Raw genomic sequence first — 23,892 nt, 5'->3', positions numbered from 1 at the left:
AATGAGTATACCAAAAATAAATTACAAAGGCTTACAGAGGTTAGGATTATGAGTTAATTGCTAGTAAGTTTTATTAGAACAGAGATGAAAGAGATCCCTATGGGCTGAAGGCATCAGGCTTATTAGTTACAGAAGCAATTTTTTTAGGCTTGTTTACAAAGGTGGAGGCTCCACAGCTCACACGCACAGACCCAGTTATAATGAGAATCTGGTATACAGAAAAGGACAAATGGTTTTCAGAAGAAAACCTAATATGGGAAGCATTATAAGTGCCTTGGCATTTTAACATTGAAAACAAAATCAAAAGAGGAAGACAGAAAGGGGAGAAAAATAAAGGCATTGATAATCTAATAATTAGCACAGAAAAGAGAACTGGCATGGTTTATTGCCCATGGATTTACCTCTAGCATGGTTTACTGTCCATGGATTTATCTCTAGCTTTTAAAATTTATTTTAAAACATGTTTTAAATGTAAGTTCTCATTAGATCTCTTAAGTGCCAAGACTTATAAACTAAACTAGGACACATATCGTGGGGGAATTATTAATATTTTGATTTTTTAGTTTTGCCAGTTAAGATTGCTTAAGTTAGAAGGTCATCAAGGAAAATGTGAAATGCTTTTATGATTCAACATTGTTATTTTCAAGATTCTTTTTTTTTTTTTTTTTTTGAGACAGGGTCTCGCTCTGTTGCCCAGGCTGGAGTGCAGTGGCACGACCTCGGCTCACTGCAAGCTCCGCCTCCCGGGTTCACGCCATTCTCCTGCCTCAGCCTCCGGAGTAGCTGGGATTACAGGTGCCCGCCACCACGCCCAGCTAATTTTTTTTTTTTTTTGTATTTTTAATAGAGACGGGGTTTCACCATGTTAGCCAGGATGGTCTCGATCTCCCAACCTCGTGATCCGCCCGCCTCAGCCTCCCAAAGTGCTGGGATTACAGGCTTGGGCCACCGCATCCGGCCTCAAGACTCTTAAAAAGTATTTATCTTTTGTATGTCTACAAATAATACATGACTTGATTGTTGGTTTTTTATTAATGCAACTTGTCGTCAAACTCACATTCTTTCTCCCTCTGCTCTTCTCTTGAGGTTCTCTACTCCCTTTTCATGACCTGGCTCTACAGGATTAAGGTCAGCTCTCTAATATTACCTCTGTACCTCCTTCCATGCACTCGGTTTGCCCCTTATCTCAAATGCAGGTCTCACCATCACACGTAGACTTGAAAAACTCATAGAAATGTAGGTAATGTATGAATTATTGTGTAGTTAATCATTAAATTGATGGCTACAACTTAAAAATATTATGTTTTAATATCTTACAATATAAAACAATGGCATGAAACACAATCCCACATTTAACTTAATTCCAGCTAGATAAAAGACAAATGAATGCTTAAAAATACTACTAGGAGAGATTCCAGGAAATTAACTTGGGTTGCCTTTGGAAAGAGAGATGAGTAACAAATTATATTCTGATTCTGTTTCTTTATAAAATACATATTCCCAAAATATTTCTAGGATGAGCTTAGATTTTTAGTTATATATAAAGAGAGACTATGTGTATATGTATATTTACACTAAAAACTGGAAATAATAAATTTAAATGATTGTATGGAAATATGTCAGTGTGAAATGTTATCTCCAAACCTTTTGCTAAAATGAACAGGAGACAGATTCTTAAACTATATTTAGAATTAGGAATGTCTGATCAGAGTGTCTTTCTTCTCCTTGGTCTTTTATTTATGGCTTTACAGTTTGTTCATCCCAGACTGGAAGAATTTCATCAATAACAAAAATGGGCTCCAAGGAATGGCTTTCACAGCATAGCACAGTCCCCAAACTCCTAAATAGTGTTCCTTTATTAAGATATAAAATCAGGTTAAGTGCTTCAGGAGGACAGACTAAACTACCACTTTTAATGAAAATTAGGCAGAAATACCCACCAATTATTAGAAGGTTTTTTTCAATTATTAATTTGATGACCTGGGAAATAATTTACAAATTTAAAACAGAAATTATATTTTCTAAGCAATTTTATAGAAGCTTATTGCAGTTTATTTGAACATGTGAGTATGTATGATTTTAATTGAGATATTTTAACTGTGTTTTTATAAATTGGTCTAGAGTACTTATGACTTAGTTAATTTGCAAATGTTTGAAGGCTGAGTGAGTTCCATGAAAAGGTTTTATTTCTTACTGAGTTTGATCAATCAGTTTAAAATGGTGACTGATTTACATCTCCAAGCTCGTTACTTATATAAAACAAAGGGACAAAAGAAGTAGCATAGACCACAATCTCTGATGGTAGAGTGGATATCAACTCTTACGTGATGTTAATCCAAACGGAAATCCAATCAAGATTATTTCAGATTGCAAGATGATTTCACGCTGAAGTTGAATCCAGCCTTACAGTGCAAACAAATCAGATCAATGGGAATCCCTCTGTTAGCACTCTTCGGTGAGGTGAGAAACAGCCAGGAATTTTCCCACTTACAGTGAAATAAACCTGTCCACCAAAACCCTAGAGCGGGGGAATTCATCTCTAAATAAAGTGCTAAGGCAGGGTCATTGCCTGATTCTTGTCTAGTTCAAAGGACAAAAGGAACGTTCTGTCCACTTCGCATGATGCTCCTTTGCCAAATTTATGTCTAAGTCAGGAAAGAAAATGCAAGAGTCATATGGGCTCTGTCTATGCACAGACATTTTCTGTGGGCACAATAATAATCTTCCACGGTGAAGGGAAAACTCCTGTTGGAATGTTGATGCTGTCTAGTCTAGTGCCTATATCTGTTTCTGAGTCTGGCTGGGGCTAAGTATAAGCTAAGAAGTTTCCATTTGAAATGCTTCACTTGAATGTCTCAGACAGCTATTTTCTTTCTCTCTGTCTAAATATTTGAAGACACATTTTACTCATGTTCATCAAACTCACATATTAATACATCAAGATGTCCAATTTCTCTACTGCATCTGTGCACCCTTGAGCAAGTCACTAAGTATCACTGAGCCTCCATGTCCTTATAAGCCAATCTATGGGTTGGACTAAATGGATGATTTCCTAAGGGGGAATTGGAGGTCCTCATTTGGATTAGTGTCAGAAACAAGTACAGAGGGAGCTTTGTTTTAACGACTATTGTCCCTTCCATACCGATTACAGGCCTCTGTTGATTCCCCAGCTGTGTCTCTCTTTACCATCTTATTGAATTTGGACTCGACTTCTAACTATCAGCCTTTATATCTTTTCTGTTGAAGTGATTTTTCCATGGCCAGAGCCTGCTTAAGGCCTAACAGGCTGGAAGTGCAAGAGAGTTGATGTCTCCTGGAAACAACCATCAACCAATGACTCAAGAAAGTTGGTGGATAAATATCCCAGCTCCCTTGCACCTCCAGTGGGGAAACTCTGAGGCTTGTATTTGATCATGCCTCCCAGTTTCCAGTGGGATTGACTCTGGTTGCCCACAGTAGTAATGGCTTGATAACATATCCTTTATTGACTACATCACTTCCCTTCCTCCCTTCGACATACTTCTAATGCTGTTCCCTGGGAACTTCTTCAAAATAAACGATTTTCATTCAAGTCCTTGACTCAGGACCTACATGTGATGAAACTGATTAAGAATAATAAACACTTAGTATTTCTGTTTTTTTCTGTGACTAAAATTCCATGATCCTCAGATACCCTCTTCTTAAACACAGCATTTTTTTGTTTTGTTTTGAGAAGGAGTCTCGCTCTGTCACCCAGGCTGGAGTGCAGTGGCATGATCTTGGCTCAGTGCAACCTCTGCCTCTTGTCTTCAAGCAATTCCCCTGCCACAGCCTCCAGAGTAGCTGGGATTACAGGTGCTCGCCACCATGCCTGGCTAATTTTTGTATTTTTAATAGAGATGGGGTTTCACCCATATTGGTTGGTCTTGAACTCCTGACTTCAGGTGATCCGCCTGCCTCAGCCTCCCAAAGTGCTGGGATCACAGGCATAAGCCACTATGCCAGGCCAACCACAGCATTTTAAATAAGATTGTTCTTTGGCCTTGATTCCTTCTCTTTTGCTGTGTAAACTAATTGCTGGAAACTTTTGAGCTCTAATTTGTATGTTTCAAACACAAAGTAGTCTTTAAAAACAAAGTCATAAAGAAAACCTTAAAAAAATCTACATTTATCTTTTTTTCCCTTTTGCACAATGTCCATCAGCTGCTAGCTGCAAAAATGTAAATGTGTAATTACCCTGAAATAACAGACTTACAGAAGCATGGAATTCTTGGCCTTTTGTTCTGTTTTCATTTGTTCATGGCCTGAAAGCCATGAAGGAAACTATCACTGTAATCACCCACTGATACTCCAAAGTCCTGCTTGGAGAGAAGCAAGAAACCAGAAGGAAAAAGCTCTTTATGCCTTTGGGAGCTCAGAGTAAATCTTGATTAACAGAGATCAAAGTGAAAGCCAAAGTCATTTAGAACTTGGTCTTTTTACAGAGAGGTCAGAAGGATCATTTGGCCAGAGTCTCACACTTTGAATTAGAATGTGAATAATTGGGACCTCTTGTCCCTGTTGATGGTAGTAGCATGACAAACTGCTTTGCAAAACAGAGGTATGTGTATATACTAAACACTCATGAATATATAGTTTACAATAGGTTCAGAGAATGGAATAGTATGCAGCATTGAAAATAATTGCTGCCAAACATATTGACATCATTCCCTTGATACCCCATCCTTCGGCAAACACAGCACCATTTCTCTGTTCCATTTCCTAGTTAAAGTTCTTGAAAAAGTTGTCAACATTGCTGTCTCCTTTCTCACCATTCATTATCTCCTGAATATTCACTTGAATGTTTGTCCTCCTTTTTCTAGAGAGGCTGTATTCACCAAGGTCACCAATGACCCCTATGTTGGCAAATCCAATAATGACATTTCCTTTCTCATCTTGCTTGACATCTCAGTAGCTTTCAAGATAAGTGATCATATCCCTCTACTTTAACTATTGTCTTCTAATGGGTTTTAGAATTTTGGACTTTCCTGCTATCCTCCTACTTTTCTGGCCATTCCTTCTCAATATACTTTTCAGGTCCACGGCATTTTGTGTTACTGGAGTGTCTAGGATTCTTTTCTGAGAAATTTTCTTCATCTGCACACTCCCTGTAGGTGGTCTCACCCTGTCTATGCCCTAAATATTAAATATATAAATACTAATAATTCCCAAGCCTACATCTCCAAAAATGACCTTTCACCAGCTCTCCCGACTTCAATATCTATTTTTTACACATTTCCACATGAATGCAGGGCCAGCTTCATGAGTGTGAGGCCTCTGCAGTCACACAGGGCCCAGTACTCAGAAGGACCCATGCTTAGTTTAATGTTCTGCAGTCATTGTCCTGAAATTCTCCATCATTTTATCTTTGAGCTTGTGTTTTGTAACTGAAGTCTGATCGAACAATGGAGAATGCACATAAGCAGAGGAGATATGTGCAAGATACATGTCCATTGTTCTTTGCTGCCCTGCTCACATATTGAATTTGCAATGCTCGGGTGCACAGAATGTCCATGGATCCACAATGAGAGTTCAATGAGGCTCAAACCAACTACATGATAAAAGTGTTACATCTCCAGGTTCTCACATCTATGAAAAGTCATGCTTTCCATTAGAATCAGAACTTGCTTCAAATGCAGAAATAGCATTCTAAAACATGAAACACCAATAATCCTAATCATTATGTGTTATTTCTATTAGCCAACCATTACACTGAATATAATGACATAGAAAAAGTGAGAAAGATGGAACAACCCAGAGTTCCCCTTCTTTCCAGTCCTTCCTTTCTCATAAGTAAGCTGAAGGTACAGAAGGCTGGTAGGGTGTTCATGTATCAAGAAGTAAAATAAAAACAATGATACTAGTTTTGTACAGTAGTTCCTCTATCTTGATAAGAACAAAAAACATAGGCATGTACTATCTATGAAATGTGAATTGTATAATTTTTGTGATTCTGTATATAAATTAAATGATTAAAATGGCATTTTATTTGCTGAAAATAGCATTGCACAATGTAAGAATGAATGTTAAAACTCGTAATAAACAATTTTAATTTTTTTTTACTTAGAATGACATTAAATAGTAATTTTTAAAAAAATACCATTACCAGTCAAGAGAGAGATTGCAGAAGAAAGAAAAGTGTTCTATTTTAGTATCTTTATTGGCACTTCCCCCATTGCTTTTTGGAAAAGGGCCCCTCAGTTTCACTTTTGGAGTGTGCCAGCAAATATGTAATCAGCCCTAATGACTAACAGACACCCCGAGCTTTAAATGTCCATAAAGTGTTCTTAGTTCTTCCCTTTCTTTCCAAATCTTCCCTCGTTTTCCTCATCTTGGTCACAGCCCATCAACCCACCAGTTGCTCACATAAAATAATTGAGTTAGCCTTTATTCCATGACTTTCTCCATCAGTAGGACATAGGGCATTATCTCCACACAGTATACATCAGGCCTTCCATTCCTCTCAATCCTCTATTACTCTTTAGTTCAAGTCGTCACCATCTCTTGCCTAGACAAGTACAGGCCTGAATTTCCTGTTGTCTCTCCACAAGCCATCTTATAAACCATCCTCAAACAGATCCTTTATTTTTTATTTATTATTTTTTTTTGAGACGGAGTATCACTTGGTCACCCCGGCTGGAATGCAGTGGCATGATCTCAGCTCACTGCAGCCTCTGTCTCCCGAGTTCAAGTGATTCTCCTGCCTCAGCTTCCCGAGTAGCTGGGATCACAGGTGTGTGGCACCACGCCCATCTAATTTTTGTCTTTTTGGTAGAGATGGAGTGTCACCATGTTGGCTAGGTTGGTCTTGAACTCCTGACCTCAAGTCATCCCTCTGTCCCAGCCTCCCAAAGTGCTGGGATAGGGATTACAGGCGTGAGCCACCATGCCTGGCCTCCCAAACAGATTTCTAAAAAACACAAATAGGTATTTCCCTTTTTCTACTAAAAACATTCAAATGAGTCTCCTTGCTCTTTGCATGACACCCAAATTCCAACCATTGTCTCCACAGTTTTACATGACCTGGTGCCTACATACCATTCCACACTCTCTTTATTCCATTCCACTTTTCATACACCATGGCTCTGCTTCACAGGACTTGTGATTTCTCCAAAATCCCAGGATTACTTTGACTTTAAAGCCCTTTTGTACTAATGAGCTTTCTTCTCTGTGTGCTCCAGACCCCTGATCTTTGCCTGGATGGCTCTTCTTTTCATACAGATCTCAGCTTAAATGTCTCCTCCTCAAAGAGTCCTCCTCTAACCACTCAAAAGAAAACAAAATACACCTGGTTACTCCAACTGGCACCTTGCTTTAGTTACTTCATACCATTTTTCCTGATCATGAACTCATTTGCTTATTGCCTGTCTTCCTTCACTGGGATTTCAGCTCCGTGAGATCAGGGACCTTAACTGTCTTATTTATTGTTGTTTCTGGGGTCTCTAAGATAGTGTCTGGAACAAAGTAGGTGTCAGCTGCGTGAGATCAGGGACCTTAACTGTCTTATTTATTGTTGTTTCTGGGGTCTCTAAGATAGTGTCTGGAACAAAGTAGGTGTCAGCTGAATGAGTAAATAAAAAAATTAATCAGCGTGGTAAGTGCAGTTGTGTTTCCTCTGTTGATGGGTGTGTTCGTATATATGTATCTTTACATATATGCACCCACATGCAAAAACGACATATATACCTATATATATTCATATATTACCGTAGATATTGGCATTGTCTCCTCTTCACCCACTCTCTACCTTCCTCACTGGGTGGAAGCCACAGACTTAGAGGGGAATTGACTCCACCACTGTTGCAGAGGGGTGCCCTGATCTGCTTACAACCAATCTTATCCCCCAGCCACAGTTTTGGGTTCACCGACAGGCTTGTAGCTGATAGTAAGATGACCTCTGAAATTTTGTTCAATGGTTGAGGGATAAAAGCCCTCATTCTGACCCTCAGTGTGAGCATGGAAGCATCTAGTTTCTAGTTCTAGTTTCTGTTGGCATCAAAATGACAACCAAGAGGACAGCCTGCTTTGGCATGAAGCAAACATTAAGGAAGAGTGAAGAGAAACAACCAGACCTTTAATGACCTGGTTGAGCTGCTGGCTGGTTCAAACCTGAAGCCCAACCCTTGGGCTTTCTAGTTACACAGTTACATGAAGAAATATATTTCATTGCTCAAGCCAGTGAGAGTTGGATTTTCTGTTCCTTGCAAATAAAACATTGTAATTGACACTGGTAGTAAATTTTAATCACTATTAGCCTTTTGGATGTATTTCCTTCCAGTAGTTTTTAATGCTGTTGAAAAATAAGATAGCTGCAACTGGAATGCATGTATACTTTTGTGCATCATTTTTCTACTTATTGTTACAGTATAAGCATTTATTTTCATGCTAATACTTACCTTAACAACCCTAATCTTATTGATTATAAAAATATCAGTGATTGCATACACTATAATCTACTTAATCATTTCCCTATTTTTGTGGACACATAGGATATTGTCACTCTCTTCAAGTTTTATTTCGTTTCTTTCATACTTATATCCTAGAAATTTAATCATTAGGTCAGTGTATGTGAACATTGATTTACCTATTGAAACACAATGCCAAGTGGCTTTTAAAAATAATATTCTTAGTACCAACAGTACCCTGCCATATTAGGCTTTATCACAGTTTTATAAAAATTTGATAATTAAATACCCCTCAATTTGGATTAATCCTGTTTTAATTTCTGATTACTAGACAGTTTGGATAATTTCTGATATGTATTTTACTATTAACATTTATCTTTTGGGGAAATACTTGTTTACTTTGTAGTTGGATTTTAGAGACAGCTTTTCACCGTGGCAGATGTAGTCAGTGTCCTGGCAATATTTTCTGAGTTCCCATCATTCCTACGATGACTTTCGAGGCAAACAACTGAAGCTTTCTGCCTAAAGGCACTCTTGCTGGTGTCCAGTAGGCCCAAGTATGGGATGAGCAGCAGTGGTTGAATGAAAGAGCATTTCAAGGGAGAGCTCCCTTACAAACCAGATGCATCCATCAATCAAAACCTGTTGGTGGATAACTACCTCTGCTCCCTTGCCCCTCATGTGGGATAACAGTAAGATCTGTGTTATAACCTCTCATCCCCAATACTCCAGTGGGATTAGCTTCCAGTTGTCCACAATAGTAACCTGCTTGTTAACTCACACCATATTGGCTGCCTTGCTGCCTTTCCTTCTCTCTATTTCTCCCCGCTGTACTGGTGCTTGTTGACATCACCTTCCAGATAAACTCTTTGTACCCAAAAGTGTCTCTCAGTCTTTGGTTCTAGAGAATCCACCTTAAGAGAGCCATCAAATGAGATTTACTTTAGTGCAATGACTTAGGTGCTTAAGAATACTTGCTGAACATTTGAATTCTTCCCTACTCTGTGTAAAGAAAAAAAAAAATTCAAAATAAAGCAGTTCACTTTTCTTTGGAAATAAGCAGGAATATTTGATACAGTGTACACTGGTCTTTTAAAACTCTTAAAACACTTTCAATAAAAGGGAGCAAAAATAACTAATGATTTTTATGACTTTTAAGCTAAAAGGAATATTTATTCATTCTATATGTGGATTCAGAACTTTGTTTTTCCTTCTGTGGGGTACTTCATGGAGCTTTTGAAAAGTACAAATTTTTTTCTCCACAGGCTTTAATCATTATGCTTTAAGGAAATCTTTTGAAATGAAGGCAGCATATGTTGCAATAACTAGGCCCTTTCATTAAATTCATCCCTTAAGAAAAGCCCACGCAGTAACTGATTTTTGACCTCTGTTCAAATAGAACTTTGGCTAGAAAATTCTCAGAGGTAAAATACCAACAGCAATAGGAATGTTTCATATTTTAAAGTTTTCCAGTAACCACAATACACTTTATCCAGCATATATTTGGTTTGGGCTGTTTGAAGTTCACTTGAAGTTTAGACGGTGTTTTAAAGATTGCATGAATACCCTGTTTTCCAAGAATACATGACCCATTTTAAGGATTGATAATACAAGAAGAAATTCTTCTTTTAAAGAAAAATGTGTTGCTAAGACAATATCACAACTATATATCAATGTCCTTTCAAAACACTGCATTTTAGAACTTCTGACTTCTTCAGATTTCCAATTTGGTTATGAGATCTGAAAACTTAACTGATAATAGATTCCCTTTAAAGTATAAATTGACTTCAAAGTCACAGCTTTAGTTGCTAAGTCGCAATTTCTAAGTCATGTCTTTAAAAATTTTTAACAACTTCAAATGGACATTTCAACATTGGTTGCTTTTAAGTAGAGAAGGAACATACCACCTACTAATGATTTTTTTAAAGTATTTATTTATTTATGTGTTTTAGAGTTGGAGTCTTGCTATGTTGCCCAGGCTAGAGTGCAGTGGCTATTCACAGGCACCATCCCACTACTGATCAGCAATGAAGTTTCGACTACTAATGATTATTGCTAACCTATGTTAAATTAAAGTTTCTGATGCATGCCAGTGACATTGGTTTTATATGCATGATGATGTTCACTCAAAATAATTGGAATTTTGGAGGGAAGATTTTTCCCATTACTATTTTAGAGAGATTTTCCATCAAGATCTTGATGTATTGGAGAATACTAAACTTATGAACATCATGTTCCCAGGCATTGGGTTGTCCACAGGGGAGAATGAAGTGAAGACTTGGGTATCCGGATAATTTAGGCTAAAAACTGTTAGTGGTCAAGTAGAAGGGGTTCAAGACAGAGGGGGAAATGGAATTAAATTGCCACAGACCTGTATCAGAGTCAACATTTTAGCACCCCTCCGCTTTTAACTTTAAGTTAAAACTCTAGTACTTGCTCCCAAACTTGGCCCATCGTCCCTGGAGCTCAAGTTCTGGAACACACAAATCAAGAGGCTGCTGCAGAAGTCCGTGACATTTTAACTGGCTGAAAGTGCTACTGCTTTGCAGTGTTTGTGAGGCCAGTGCCCAGGCCAATATCACACAATGGCCTGAGATGCCAGTAGTGCTCTCATTGAGAAAAATTAGATGTGATCTGATCAAGTTATTCAGCTAACTGACTCAGGATCAGAATTACGAGTTCTGTTATATTTCCTTCTACCTTGCAATTCTGGATTAATTTGCTATTGCATACCAACACAAGGAACCCTCAAGAACAAATGACACCTAGCAAAATTATAGTATCAATATATTCTTTTGCCAGTAGGGTCACAGAATAAATCATCTTCTGTTGATGCTGTATGTCATGAATGTGTAGTTTGAAAAAAAAAAAAAAAAGAAGTGATTTATAATCTCAAGATAGCTCAAGCTAAGTAACCGAAGTGCAGAAAACCTAAAACAGACTTCACCACCTGTAAGTACTATAGATATGTAGCCATATATCATAGCCAGTTAAGCACTAAATTTATGTTACAACACCAGGAACATTCCAAGGAAATTCAATAATATCTATTTATTAAATTCAGTGCTATGATTACCAACCAAGCAAAACAAAGCTGGAACATATTCCATGGAAAATCTAACTGCTCAAAAGATGCCCAACAGAAATGTTATGTTTATTTGGTGATATTTAAATGATGATCATCCTCTCATTCATATTCACATGCTTCCTAAAAAATGTTGTTTTTTACATTCCACAGGATAAGTCACACTTCATTTCTCAGCTCTGTTCGACTTTGAAGGTGCTAGAATATCTGTTATCCTGCTTATTAGAAACAATCAACTTTTTGACAAGGTAAACACTAGGTTCACATGCTGAAAACCCGATAGAAACTGAGATGATTCGTCCACCCATTCACTTGCTACATTAAGCAAATATTTTTAATATTTAATGATTGTTTCCACCTGTTGATAAGGCACAATTTTCATCTGAAGTAAGCACAATACCTAAGTAGATAGTAGCCTGTTGTAAGGCAGTCAAATATACTTTGTAAAATTGCACATAGTTTGGGGTCTTAGAACTAATTTTTAAAATTTAAAAGCGATGATTTAAAAATTCCTACATCATACTTTAATTATATAATTGATAGCAAATACATAATGAGATGAAACTTTTGAACTGTTGATTTTTTTAATATATAATGATTAATTTTCCTTCACAGGGAATAAATTCAGAAGAGGAATCCAGCGCTGCTGTGGTGGCTTTAGTCACTAGTGCACACACTTCTTGTAAATTTCTGCTCTCCCATCCTTAGCAATGACATCCAAATGCAAATTTGCCTAAATCCAGTCCAAAATGGCAGTTGGAACCTCAATCTTCACCTCCGTTTTGCAGGTATCATGAAGGAGGAAATGACTGAGGACAAAACACAGGTTCTGGGGTCTATATCCTCTTGAGAAAAAAAATCTTCCTTAAAGTCCTACCTTGCCACTTTTACTTACACCACATTAGTCAGAATTAGTCACATGGCTACTCCAGTCTTCTAGCTGGTTACATTTCCAGAGAAAGGAGAGGAAAGCTGTTGGTTAAACAGATATACCATATATTTCTGTTTGCCTATTCAGACCCACTTTCTTTTTTTTATTTTTTATTATACTTTAAGTTCTTTATTATATAATACTTTATTATATTTAAAGTATAATAAAGTTTATTATACTTTAAGTTTTTATTATACTTTAAGTACATGCGCAGAATGTGCAGGTTTGTTACATAGGTATACACGTGCCATGGTGGTTTGCTGCACCCATCAACATGTCATCTACATGAGGTATTTCTCCTAATGATATCCATGCCCTAACCCCCCAACCACTGACAGGCCCCAGTGTGTGATGTTCCCCTTCCTGTGTCCGTGTGTTCTCATTGTTCAACTCCCACTTATGAGTGAGAACATGTGGTGTTTGGTTTTCTGTTCTTGTGTTAGTTTGCTGAGAATGACGGCTTCCAGCTTCATCCATGTCCCTGCAAAGGACATGAACTCATCCTTTTTTATGGCTGCATAGTATTTCATGGTATATATGTGCCACATTTTCTTTATCCAGTCTATCATTGATGGGCATTTGGGTTGGTTCCAAGTCTTTGCTATTGTGAACACTGCCGTAATAAACATACATGTGCATGTGTCTTTATAGTAGAATGATTTATAATCCTTTGCGTATATACCCAGTAATGGGATTGCTGGGTCAAATGGTATTTCTGGTTCTAGATCCTTGAGGAATTACCACACTGTCTTCCACAATGGTTGAACTAATTTACACTCCCACCAACAGTGTAAAATTGTTCCTATTTGTCCACATCTTCTCCAGCATCTGTTGTTTCCTGATTTGTTAATGATTGCCATTCCAACTGGTGTTAGATGGTATCTCATTGTGGTTTTTATTTGCATTTCACTAATGACCAGTGATGATGAGCTTTTTTTTCATATGTATGTTGGCTGCATAAATGTCTTCTTTTGAGAAGTGTCTGTTCATATCCATCGCCCACTTTTTGATGGGGTTGTTTGTTTTTTTCTTGTAAATTTGCTTAAGCTCTTTGTAGATTCTGAATATTAGCCCTTTGTCAGGTGGATACACTGCAAAAATTTTCTCCCATTCTGTAGGTTGTCTGTTCACTCTGATGGTAGTTTCTTTTGCTGTGCAGAAGGTCTTTAGTTTAATTAGGTCCCATTTGTCAATTTTGGCTTCTATTGCCATTGCTTTTGGTGTTTTAGCCATGAAGTCTTTGCCCATGCCTATGTCCTGAATGGTATTGCCTAGGTTTTCTTCTAGGGTTTTTATGGTTTTAGAGCTTACATTTAAGTCTTTAATCCATCTTGAGTTAAATTTGTATAAGGTGTAAGGAAGGGATCCAGTTTCAGTTTTCTGCATATGGCTAGCCAGTTTTCCCAACACCATTTATTAACTAGGGAATCCTTTCCCTATTGCTTGTTTTTGTAAGGTTTGTCAAAGATGTAGATGTGTGGTGTTATTTCTGAGGCCTCTGTTCTGTTCCATTGGTCTATATATCTGTTTTGGTACCAGTACCACACTGTTTGGTTACTGTAGCCTTGTAGTATAGTTTGAAGTCAGGTAGTGTGATGTCTCCAGCTTTGTTCTTTTTGCTTAGGATTGTCTTGGCTACGTGGGCTCTTTTTTGGTTCCATATGAAATTTAAAGTAAATTTTTCTAATTCTGTGAAGAAAGTCAATGGTAGCTTGATGGGGATAGCATTGAATCTAAAAATTACTTTGGGCAGTATGGCCATTTTCACAATATTGATTCTTCCTATCCATGAGCATGGGATGTTTTTCCATTTGTTTATGTCCTCTCTTATTTCCTTGAGCAGTGGTTTGTAGTTCTCCTTGAAGGGGTCCTTCACATCCCTTGTAAGTTGTATTCCTAGGTATTTTATTCTCTTTTTAGCAATTATGAATGGGAGTTCACTATGATTTGGCTCTCTGTTTGCCTATTATTGGTGTATAGGAATGCTTGTGATTTTTGCACATTGATTTTGTATCCTGAGACTATGCTGAAGTTGCTTATCAGCTTAAGAAGATTTGGGGCTGAGACAATAGAGTTTTCTAAATATACAATCATGTCATCTGCAAAAAGTCAAATTGTCTCTGTTTTCAGACCTACTTTCTAGCTTCTCCATATTGCACTGTGTCCAGGAGACAAACTTCTCTGAACCGCATCAGCCAGCCTTCACCTCCTGGCTTCCTTTTGAGTTTGGACAATGAAACACACCAAGAGGAGGTTGAGAAGTGGGAGGAGAGAGATGATGGGGTCTTGAATCTTCCTGCTGTATCTAAGGACAGAGCCCCTGTCTATAGATGGGAACTAAATTTTTTTTCAGCTGAGACTTTTTAATTAAATTGATTGCTTTTTTTCTACTTGGTAGGGCTATACTACTTCCACCAGAACCACATCATTTTTAAAAAATCAATTACTTGCTCCTAATTCTTAAGCAAACTTTTTTGTTCACTGTATAAATGCAAGTCTTATTTGCCAACACACAAGGACTACTCCAATTGAGAATTTTCCAAATTGGCTACTTTATTACCCAGTGATTTATCATAATATGCATACTGTTTTGGCTGTCAGTATCATACATCTACATACTATAAGTCTCATAGGTTTACACACTATAAGCTACAAAAGGATTCACTTTTATTCAAGTGGTAGAGGTAATGACATTAATGGCCTACACCATGGTCAGCAAACAGGTATTTCATAAAAAAAGTGAGTGTGTGCTTCAAAAAGCCAGACCTCAGTTATGTACTTTTCCTGATTTAGAATCTTTTCTAGTTTGTAAAAATAGTCTATCACCCAAAATATCACCAAAGGTAGTAATTTGAGATTAGAAATATTTTAGAAATTATTTCATTTCAGGTATTATTAATGTTAAGATGACCCCCACATGAAGTCATATTACCAAATTACTTATAATTTCAGTTGGTTATATTTAAACTGGGGTTTTGCTTATTAAAAATGCCATCTACTTTTTTAGAATGCAATTTTAAGTCCACAGAGGAGCGCCAGTGTACTGTTTGGCTGAAAGACTGCACACCATTCTGTTAGGCAGGCTGGCTTCACACAAATATCAATTGTTAATTATCACATGGCCAGAGCAAATGGGATTGCCTTGGCACTGTTACTTCTTAAATAGGCAGCAAGGAACACTTAACCGGCTTTCTGCCGGAGCACAGCTTTTACTGAGAGAACCTGCTTCTTTTTCCCAAAGTCCCCAGGCACATTTTTGCCTTACCTGGCCACAGGCAAAGTACTGCTTACTGTAAAGCAGCAGCTCTTAACCACGACCAAACATTAGGACCGCTGAGCAGCTTTTCACACTCACATAGTGTGGACTGCATCTCAGCCCAAGTATATTAGAATCCTACAGTGGGGTCTTGTCATTACAATTTTTAAGGTGCTCCAGGTGATTTCAATGTACAGCCAAGGTTGCAAACAACTGCTGTAAAGAAACGAGGCTAAAGATGCAAGTAGGATGTATGGAGGAGCAGGTCTTAATTTCTGCTTCCCACTGAGGCAGCCCCTCCGTACTCAGCTCTGAAAGACTTTGGCTAAGCTATGAGTTCACTTAGCGAAGACCGTTTGCTCTTCTCTATCTTTTTTTACTCAAGGGAGGGTCTACTAAAAGGAAAAAAATAGCAAGCTTAACTAGACTTTGTTCAACCTCATGCCAGGGGAGTTTTTTGCTGCAAGAATATAAAATTGACCTAGCTCTATAATTTTAGGTGATGGGTGGAGGGAATAGGCTTATTAGTTCTTATATGTAGATTGTAGTGAACATTCTTAATTTTATAGAGAAAAACACTATTAAATGTCAGCTTGACTATCTTGAAAGGATTTCTAGTCAATTACATCGGTAATCCTTATGTCAATTAGGTTAGGGTATAAAGAAGACTTATTCTATAAATTCCACTTTCTAATTGCATCTGTTAATGAAATTTAATCCTCATGCAAATTGAGCAGTTGAAGCAAATTTACCAAACACAAATGAGGAAAGTTAATGTGGGGAGGGAAAAATAAATTAAAAACATCACAAACCCTGTTATTTTCACTGATAGAATTAAACCATAGCAGTTCTTTCAATGCAATGTATCAAGACAGAATAGAAAGAGACGCTTGAACTTCTGCTTGAAATTTCAGACTCATTGTATTTTGTTTCAACTCTCCAGTGCATGGGTCTTGGCACCCACTTGGATTAACTAAGAGGAATGTCTTCAACTGCTCATATCCCGACTATCTTAGAACAGATAAAGAATGAGTGCTCTAGGGTTATCTATAATCCCCCTGCATGAGTTGCAAAACTTAGTTATACGGTTCATAATTATATTATGTTCTAAGTTAAAGATACTAAATTTTACAATAGAAAATATTAATCTAGTTCTATTCCTTTAGACTAGAAAGTGTATCCACAAACCACCACAAAATGTTGAACCACACACAGGAGATTCTAAGTGAAATACAGATGAAGAGACAAATTCTCTCCACTAACGGTCTTCAGCATTCTACCTGGAACAGTCCCTGCCAAGTCCCAGATCATCTCTCTGTGGCCATTTTCCCATCATCTGGCTTCTAGATAGGACTTTGATTCCTCGTTCCATATCCTAGTTTATCACCACTTTTTCTCCTTGAGCAGTTTAATTCTGCTGACTAGGAAGGTCCTTCCAGTTACAAGCCTAAATTATCCTGCTGAGATCAAGTTTATTCTTGTTATCTTTCCTCAGTGAACATGGAGAAAATCCGACAATGCCACCCATTTTACTTATTATTTTTAAAAGGTTATTCTGTGGCTTAAAGAAATTTTTTGGCAGAATCTCAAATTACACATATATGATCCATATAAAAATACACACATATGGTCAAAGACTGGATAGGAAAAATGTATGATTATAATAGACATACTATAGTGGTAGGTTATGGGAGACTTGGTTTTCCATTTATGTTCCTGTCTGCTTCTTGATAATTTAAAAGGACAAACAAAAAAAGATGACATTTAAAATTACCTCTCTCCTTCACTCATTGTATGTTACCTTTGCTTAGATGGAGTTCAGCTCTGGTTAAACTTTCAAATTAGTTGAACAACACTAGACGTTTTTCAACAATACTAGTGCTGGGGCTCAATTCTCAGAGATTCTGATTGCATTAATCCATAATGCTTTCTAGACATCAGTATTTTTTTTTAAAACCTTTCCAAGTGGTTGTAATAAGCAGCCAGAAATGAGAAGTGGTTCTCAGCTTTAGTTCTGTATTAGAAACATGTGAGAAGCTTAAAAAAAATCCAGATGACCAGGCAACTCCCAAGCAATTTAAGTCTGAAGATGAGACCTAGGCCTTGGTATTCTTAAAGCTCACAGGTGATGTCAATGTACAGCCAAAATGGAGAATCCATGACTTAGACGGGTAGTTCTCAAAGTTCGGTCCACAAACCAGCAGCATGAGCATCTCCTGGAAGTTTGTTAGAAATGCAGGTCTTAGGGCCTCACTCCAGGCCTACTGAATCAGACACATTGGGTGAGGCTCAGTAGTTTGTATTTTCTATCAGCCTCCCAGGGGATTCTCATATAAACTAAAATTTGAAAGCTACTGACTTGGACTATAAAGTCTACAATTACAGGGGCTATAATTACTGAGATGTGTATCTCCAGAACTTAGCACAGGGCTTGTCAAAAGTAGGTACTCAAAACTTGCCTCCTAAAAGAAGGAAGGAAGAAAGAAAGGTAGGAAGGAATTTCTATGTTATAAAAAAAGAGGATTTGCAGAGTTATACACAATGAAACTCAGAGAGGTAAATTAAACTGAATTAGTACAAGACCGACCTAGGCTCATTCCCTTTTCTATATCAAACCTTAAGCTCTTAGGTGCATATATGTTTTCAATTGTTTTATATTCTTGATGAATTGCCCCATTTATCAATACATAATGTCCTCTGCCTCTTGTAGCATGTGTGACCTAAGGTCTATTTTGACTGATATTAGTATAGCTATTCTAGTTCTCTTTTAGAATTTGAATGAAATCTCTTTTTACATTCCGTCACTTTCAACCTGTTTGTATCTTTGGAGCTAAAGTGAATGTGTTGTAAACAGCATAGACTTGAATCTTCTTGTTGTTTTTTAATCTGACAATCTCTGTTTTTAATTGGAGAGTTTAGCTCATTTACATTTAAAAGTAATTATGGGTGAGAAAGGATTTACTTTTGACATTTTTACTATTTGTGTTCTATATGTCTTATCTTTCCTGTTTCTCAATTCCCCCATTACTGCCTTCTTTTGTGTTTGATTTTTGAAGTATACTTTTCATTTCTTTTTCTGTATATTTTATAGTTAATATTTTAGTAGTTATCCTGGGGATTACAACTAACATCTTAAACTTATAATCTGGCTTGATTTAACACCAACTTAACTTCAAGAGTATACAATTACTTTGCTCTTATATTCTCCATATCTCTTTCTTTAAATTGTTTTTGTCACAGACTATATCTTTATACATTGTATGTAAACTAAACTAACATAGATTTTTATTCATCATTTGATATATCTGTCTTTTAAATCATATGAGAAAAAAGAGGGGTTACAAGCCAATAATACAATAAAATAGGCCTTTTTATAGGACTATGTATTTACTTTTAGTAGTGTGTTTTATTTCTTTTGTACACCTTTAAGTTACTATCGAGTTTGCTGACATTACATCCTGAAGGCATCTCCTTACCATTTCTTGTAGGACAGGTCTACTTGTGAAAAACTCTATCAGCTTTTATCTGGAAATATTTTACTTTTTTCTTAAATTTACTTTTTTCTTAATTTTGCCAGGTATACAATTCTTGGTTGACAGGTTGTTTTTTCCTCCTGTTTTGGCATTTTAAATATACCAATTGCTATCTTGCCTCCATTGTTTCTGATAAGAAATCAGTTATTAATTTCATTGAAGATCATTTGTATGTGATTAATTGCAACTCTCTTGCTAATTTCAAGATTCTTTGTCTAGAGCTTTCAACAGTTTGATTACAATTTCTCTTAGTGTGGCTGTCTTTGTATTTATCCTACCTGGAGTTCATCAAGCTTCCTGAATGTGTAGATTTATGCCTTTTATCAACTTTGAGAGTTTTACAACCATTATGTCTTCAAATATTCTTTCTGCCTTTTTTTCTCTCTCCTCACTTCCTGAGACTCCCCTTACATTGTTATGCTTGATGGTGTCTCACAGGTCTCTTGGGTTCTGTTCATTTTTCTTTATTCTTTTTTTATCCTTCAGTTCTTTGTCCATGGTTTCATTTATCTTTTTGAGTATATATAACAGTTGATTCATTTATATTTATTTATTTAATTCTTTATTTTGTGGATACATAGTAGGTGTATATATTTATGTATTATATGAGATATTTTGATACAGGCATGCAATGCATAATAATCACATCAAGGTAAATGGGATATTTATCATCTCAATAATTTATCCTTTGGCTTCAAACAATCCAATGATATGCTTTTAGCTATTTTAAAATGTGTAATTAAATTATTTTTGACTATAATCACCCTCTTGTGCTAACATATACTAGATCTTATTCATTTTTCCTATGTTTTTGTACTCATTAAGCCTCACTACTTCCCCCTCCACCTCCCTACCCATTATCCTTCCCAGGCTCTGGTAATCACCCGTTTTGTAAGAGTTGATTTAAAGTCTTAGTTAGTAGATCCAATATCTGTGCTTTTTCAAGGAGAGTTGTTCATTTTTTTCCTGTGAGTGGGATACTCTTTTGTTTCTTCTCATGACTCATAATTTTTTGTTGAGAACAAGACATTTTGAATATTATTATGTGGTAACTCCAGAAACCAGATTCTTGCCACTGCTTGGGGTTTATTTTTGCTGCTTGCTGTGGGTTGGAGTTGTTTCTTTCTTTAGTGACTTTTCTAAACTATTTTTTATTGTGATAAAATATAGATAGCCCAACTTTACTGTTTTAGTCATTTTGTGTACAGTTGAGTGACATTAACTAAATTCAAAATGTTGTGTTGTGCAATCATCACCAACCACCATCCATCTTCAGAACTTTTTAATATCTTCCAAAGCTGAAACTCTGTACTCACTAAACAATAACTACTTATACTTCTCTCTGATGATCCCCTGGCAACTGCCACTCTGCCTCTATAAATTTGACTCCTCTAGTTATCTCATACGAGTGGAATCATACAAATATCTGTCCTTTTGTTTCTGGCATATTTCACTTAGCATGTCTTCAAGATTTATCCATGTTCTAACATGTGTCAGAATTTCTTTATTTTTGAAGGCTGAATCATATTCCATTGTAAGTATATACCACATTTTGTTTATCTATTTCTCCACTGATGGATATTTGGGTTGTTTTCACCTTTTGTCTATTGTGAATAATGCTGCTATGAATATGAGTGTACAAATGCCTGTTTCAGTCCCTGATTTTAATTGTCTGAGATATATACCCGGAAGTGAACTTGCTGAATTATATGGTAACTCTATGTTTATTTTTGAAAAAATACAATACCATTTTCTACAGTGGCTGCACCATTTCCTATCATCACTAGGAACATACATGGGTTACAGTTTCCCTCATCTTCACCAACACTTGTTTTATTTCCATTTTTATTATTTTTTTTATTTATTTTATTTATTTATTTATTTATTTATTTATTTTATTTATTTATTATCAATAATAGCTATCCAAATGGTGTCAAGTGGTATCTCATTGTGGTTTTGATTCACATTTCCTGAGGGATTACTGATGTTATGCATCTTTTCATGTGTTTATTTCCATTTAAATATCTCTTTGGATAAATGTCTATTCAAACACTTTGCTCATTTTTCCGGACTATTTTTAAAGGCTATATATTTTGTTGTATGGACTCTGAAGTCTCTATTTTGTTAGCTTGTGGTTAGCTAGTGGTTTGGCAGATTTCCCTAAATGCCTAGAGCAAACACACACACACACACACACACACACACACACACACACACACACACCCAACCCTCTCCTAGCCTGGCTGTTTACAACTCTGCCTTAGCCTTCATTTCCTGCTGTTGTGAAGCCTTAAGATCTCAAGCTGAAGGTGAAAGCTTAGTGTCTTCTCAAATCTTTTGAGCATAGGTCCTATCCTGGGCATATGCATCACTTTTTAGGTTTTCTATTATAAGGAATCTTTTTCAAAGCAATTATTCTCTAAAGTAACTCATTCTCCAGCTTTTCCTTCCAGTATTTAGGGTTGTCTATTGTTTATAACAACTATCATCTTTTGCCCTAAGTGGCAGAGGCTTGTTCATTTACCTTTCTATGTTTTGGAGGAATGTCCTCTACATGGCTGCTTTTCTGCCCTAAGAGAGTTCCAAGTTAGGTAAAACGAAGGCAAGTACTTTTAGGGACTCTTCAGGTCAAAACAGACAAACACAATTCTTTGGTAATAAGGTCTGCTCTGCTCCTTCCAGAATCAGGTACCCATAGAGAGAATGTGGCCGCCATCTTTCCTACTGCTGCCATGCTGAGGAGGGTGTTAGCCAGGATGGGAAATATATATAAATTCTAAGACTAACTTAGATGTTTTGATTATTACTGGATAAATCTTTGGTCAAGCAAAGATGGGCTTCCCAACACATCAACAGACATTCAGAGTCACTTATTAAATTTCACTTCATTAAAAAAAATCATTTCTGACTAAGTGTCTCTTTCATGTAATTTGTCAAGTCTAAAACGATTTTAAAATTTGTCTCAAAATGATATGCTTACATTTTGTGGAATAGAAAAAATTGATTCCATCTTTATTGATAAGAATTTTCTAAGTTGTCAATGACTGATTATTTGGGGCAGACATGGAAATTATAGTCTATTCTCCTCCAAGTCAAGCAATTTTCAGATGTTTTGATGAAGCCCTGACAAACAAATAGCTCCTGTAATATTTATGATAAGAGCACATGCCATATTCTACTCTGACATACACAGTTGGCTTTACCTTATCATTAACACAAAATATTTCCACTTGATTTTAATTTGTCACATTTGAATGTAACACTTAATAAGAGAGGTAGATATTTATAGGAAATACATGGAGATAGATGACCTTTCCAGGGAAGACTTAAGACCAAACAGGAAGTAGAAAGTGTGTTTTCAGAAGTGCTTAAATCATAACAATCGAAGCCCCATCCCATGTTGAGTGAGGTGCAGCATTTCAGGTAGTGGTGGATGGCCTCAGTCTATGAGTTTGTGTTTTCTTCTTGCTTCTGAATTGTATGATATGATGGAGGAAGAGGAGTGTAGGTGGAGAGTGTGTATCTACTTTTTGTTAGAAACACCTCTTTCACTTCAAAGCTCCTATCATTGACTTAGTATCATGATCCATTGCCTACCTTGCCTTTTGAAACCCATTCAACCCTATTAAGGATACAGAGTTAAGAATATGAGGGTTGGTGGTGAAGTCAGCAAAAACAGCAGAGTAGGGAGCCCCAAGGGCCCATTTCTCCACGAAAACACTGATAAAACCAGCAAAAATTATCAAACTCAACTCTGTCAGAACTCTGAAAAATAGACAAAGGCTTAAGGCAACCAAGCAAATGCCAAGTCAAGAAAAAAGTGACTAACATGATAGGAGAGATTTGTGACATTTTAACTTAAGATTCCCTTCCTCCCAAAAAAATCTTTATTTTATTTTATTTTATTTTTAAGTTTCTAACATGAAGGGAGAATCTTCAGTTTTTTGGAGCATTTTCTTAAATGCAAAAGTACACGTCCCAGTAATTTCACACAAATAAGATTTTGTCATACACTGAATTTGAATTTAGCTCCTGAGTTAACGTAGAACAGCAACAGGTGATACTAATATTATTAAGCAAGAACTCAGAAGCTGGGCAATTTTTTTATGTTAACAGCATTTTATTGAGGTATAATTTATATACAAATAATGCAAATCATAAACATATGGATCAATGCAATTTGGCAAGTGTATATGACCATGCAATCATCATCCAGGCTAAGGTATAATACACTTCCTCTCTCTGGAATGTTCTCCTTTCCAATCAGTCCTCTTGTACTCTACAATCAGCTACTATTCTGGTTTCTATCACTGCAGAATATTTCCTTGTCTTTAAACTTAATATAAATGGAAGTGTAGAGTATGGTCCATTTTGTGTCTCTTCAGCTCTCTTCAAAAACACTATAATTTTGAGATTCATCACTAGACTGAATGCATTAGCAATTCATTTTTATTTATAGCTGAGTAGTATTCCATTATGTGATTATACCGCAATGTGTTTATTCATTTACCAGTTGGTGGAAATTTGGGTTGTTTCCAGTTTGGGGTTTTTATGAATAAAGGGGCTATAAGCATTCTTTTACAAGTTGTTATATGGATATATGTTTCATCTCTTTTGGGTAAATACCTAGGAATGGAATTGTTAGGCCATAGGAGAGGTAAGTA

General features: G+C 36.5%; 1 protein-coding gene and 1 long non-coding RNA gene across 3 annotated transcripts in view; one reads left to right on the top strand and one right to left on the bottom strand.

Moving 5' to 3' along the window:
* The window catches only part of PLCB1 (phospholipase C beta 1), a 752,635-nt gene that overhangs the window by 306,793 nt on the left and 421,950 nt on the right, over positions 1–23,892 (bottom strand). The window lies entirely within an intron of this gene.
* LOC124904867 (uncharacterized) lies at positions 820–13,081 on the top strand. Its single transcript, XR_007067519.1, has 3 exons — positions 820–7,486; positions 7,573–11,756; positions 12,124–13,081. It is a non-coding gene; the product is annotated as an uncharacterized LOC124904867 (long non-coding RNA).

Source organism: Homo sapiens, chromosome 20 (assembly GCF_000001405.40).
Source record: "Homo sapiens chromosome 20, GRCh38.p14 Primary Assembly".
NCBI lineage: Eukaryota > Metazoa > Chordata > Mammalia > Primates > Hominidae > Homo > Homo sapiens.
This window is presented reverse-complemented; position numbering and strand designations above follow the sequence as displayed.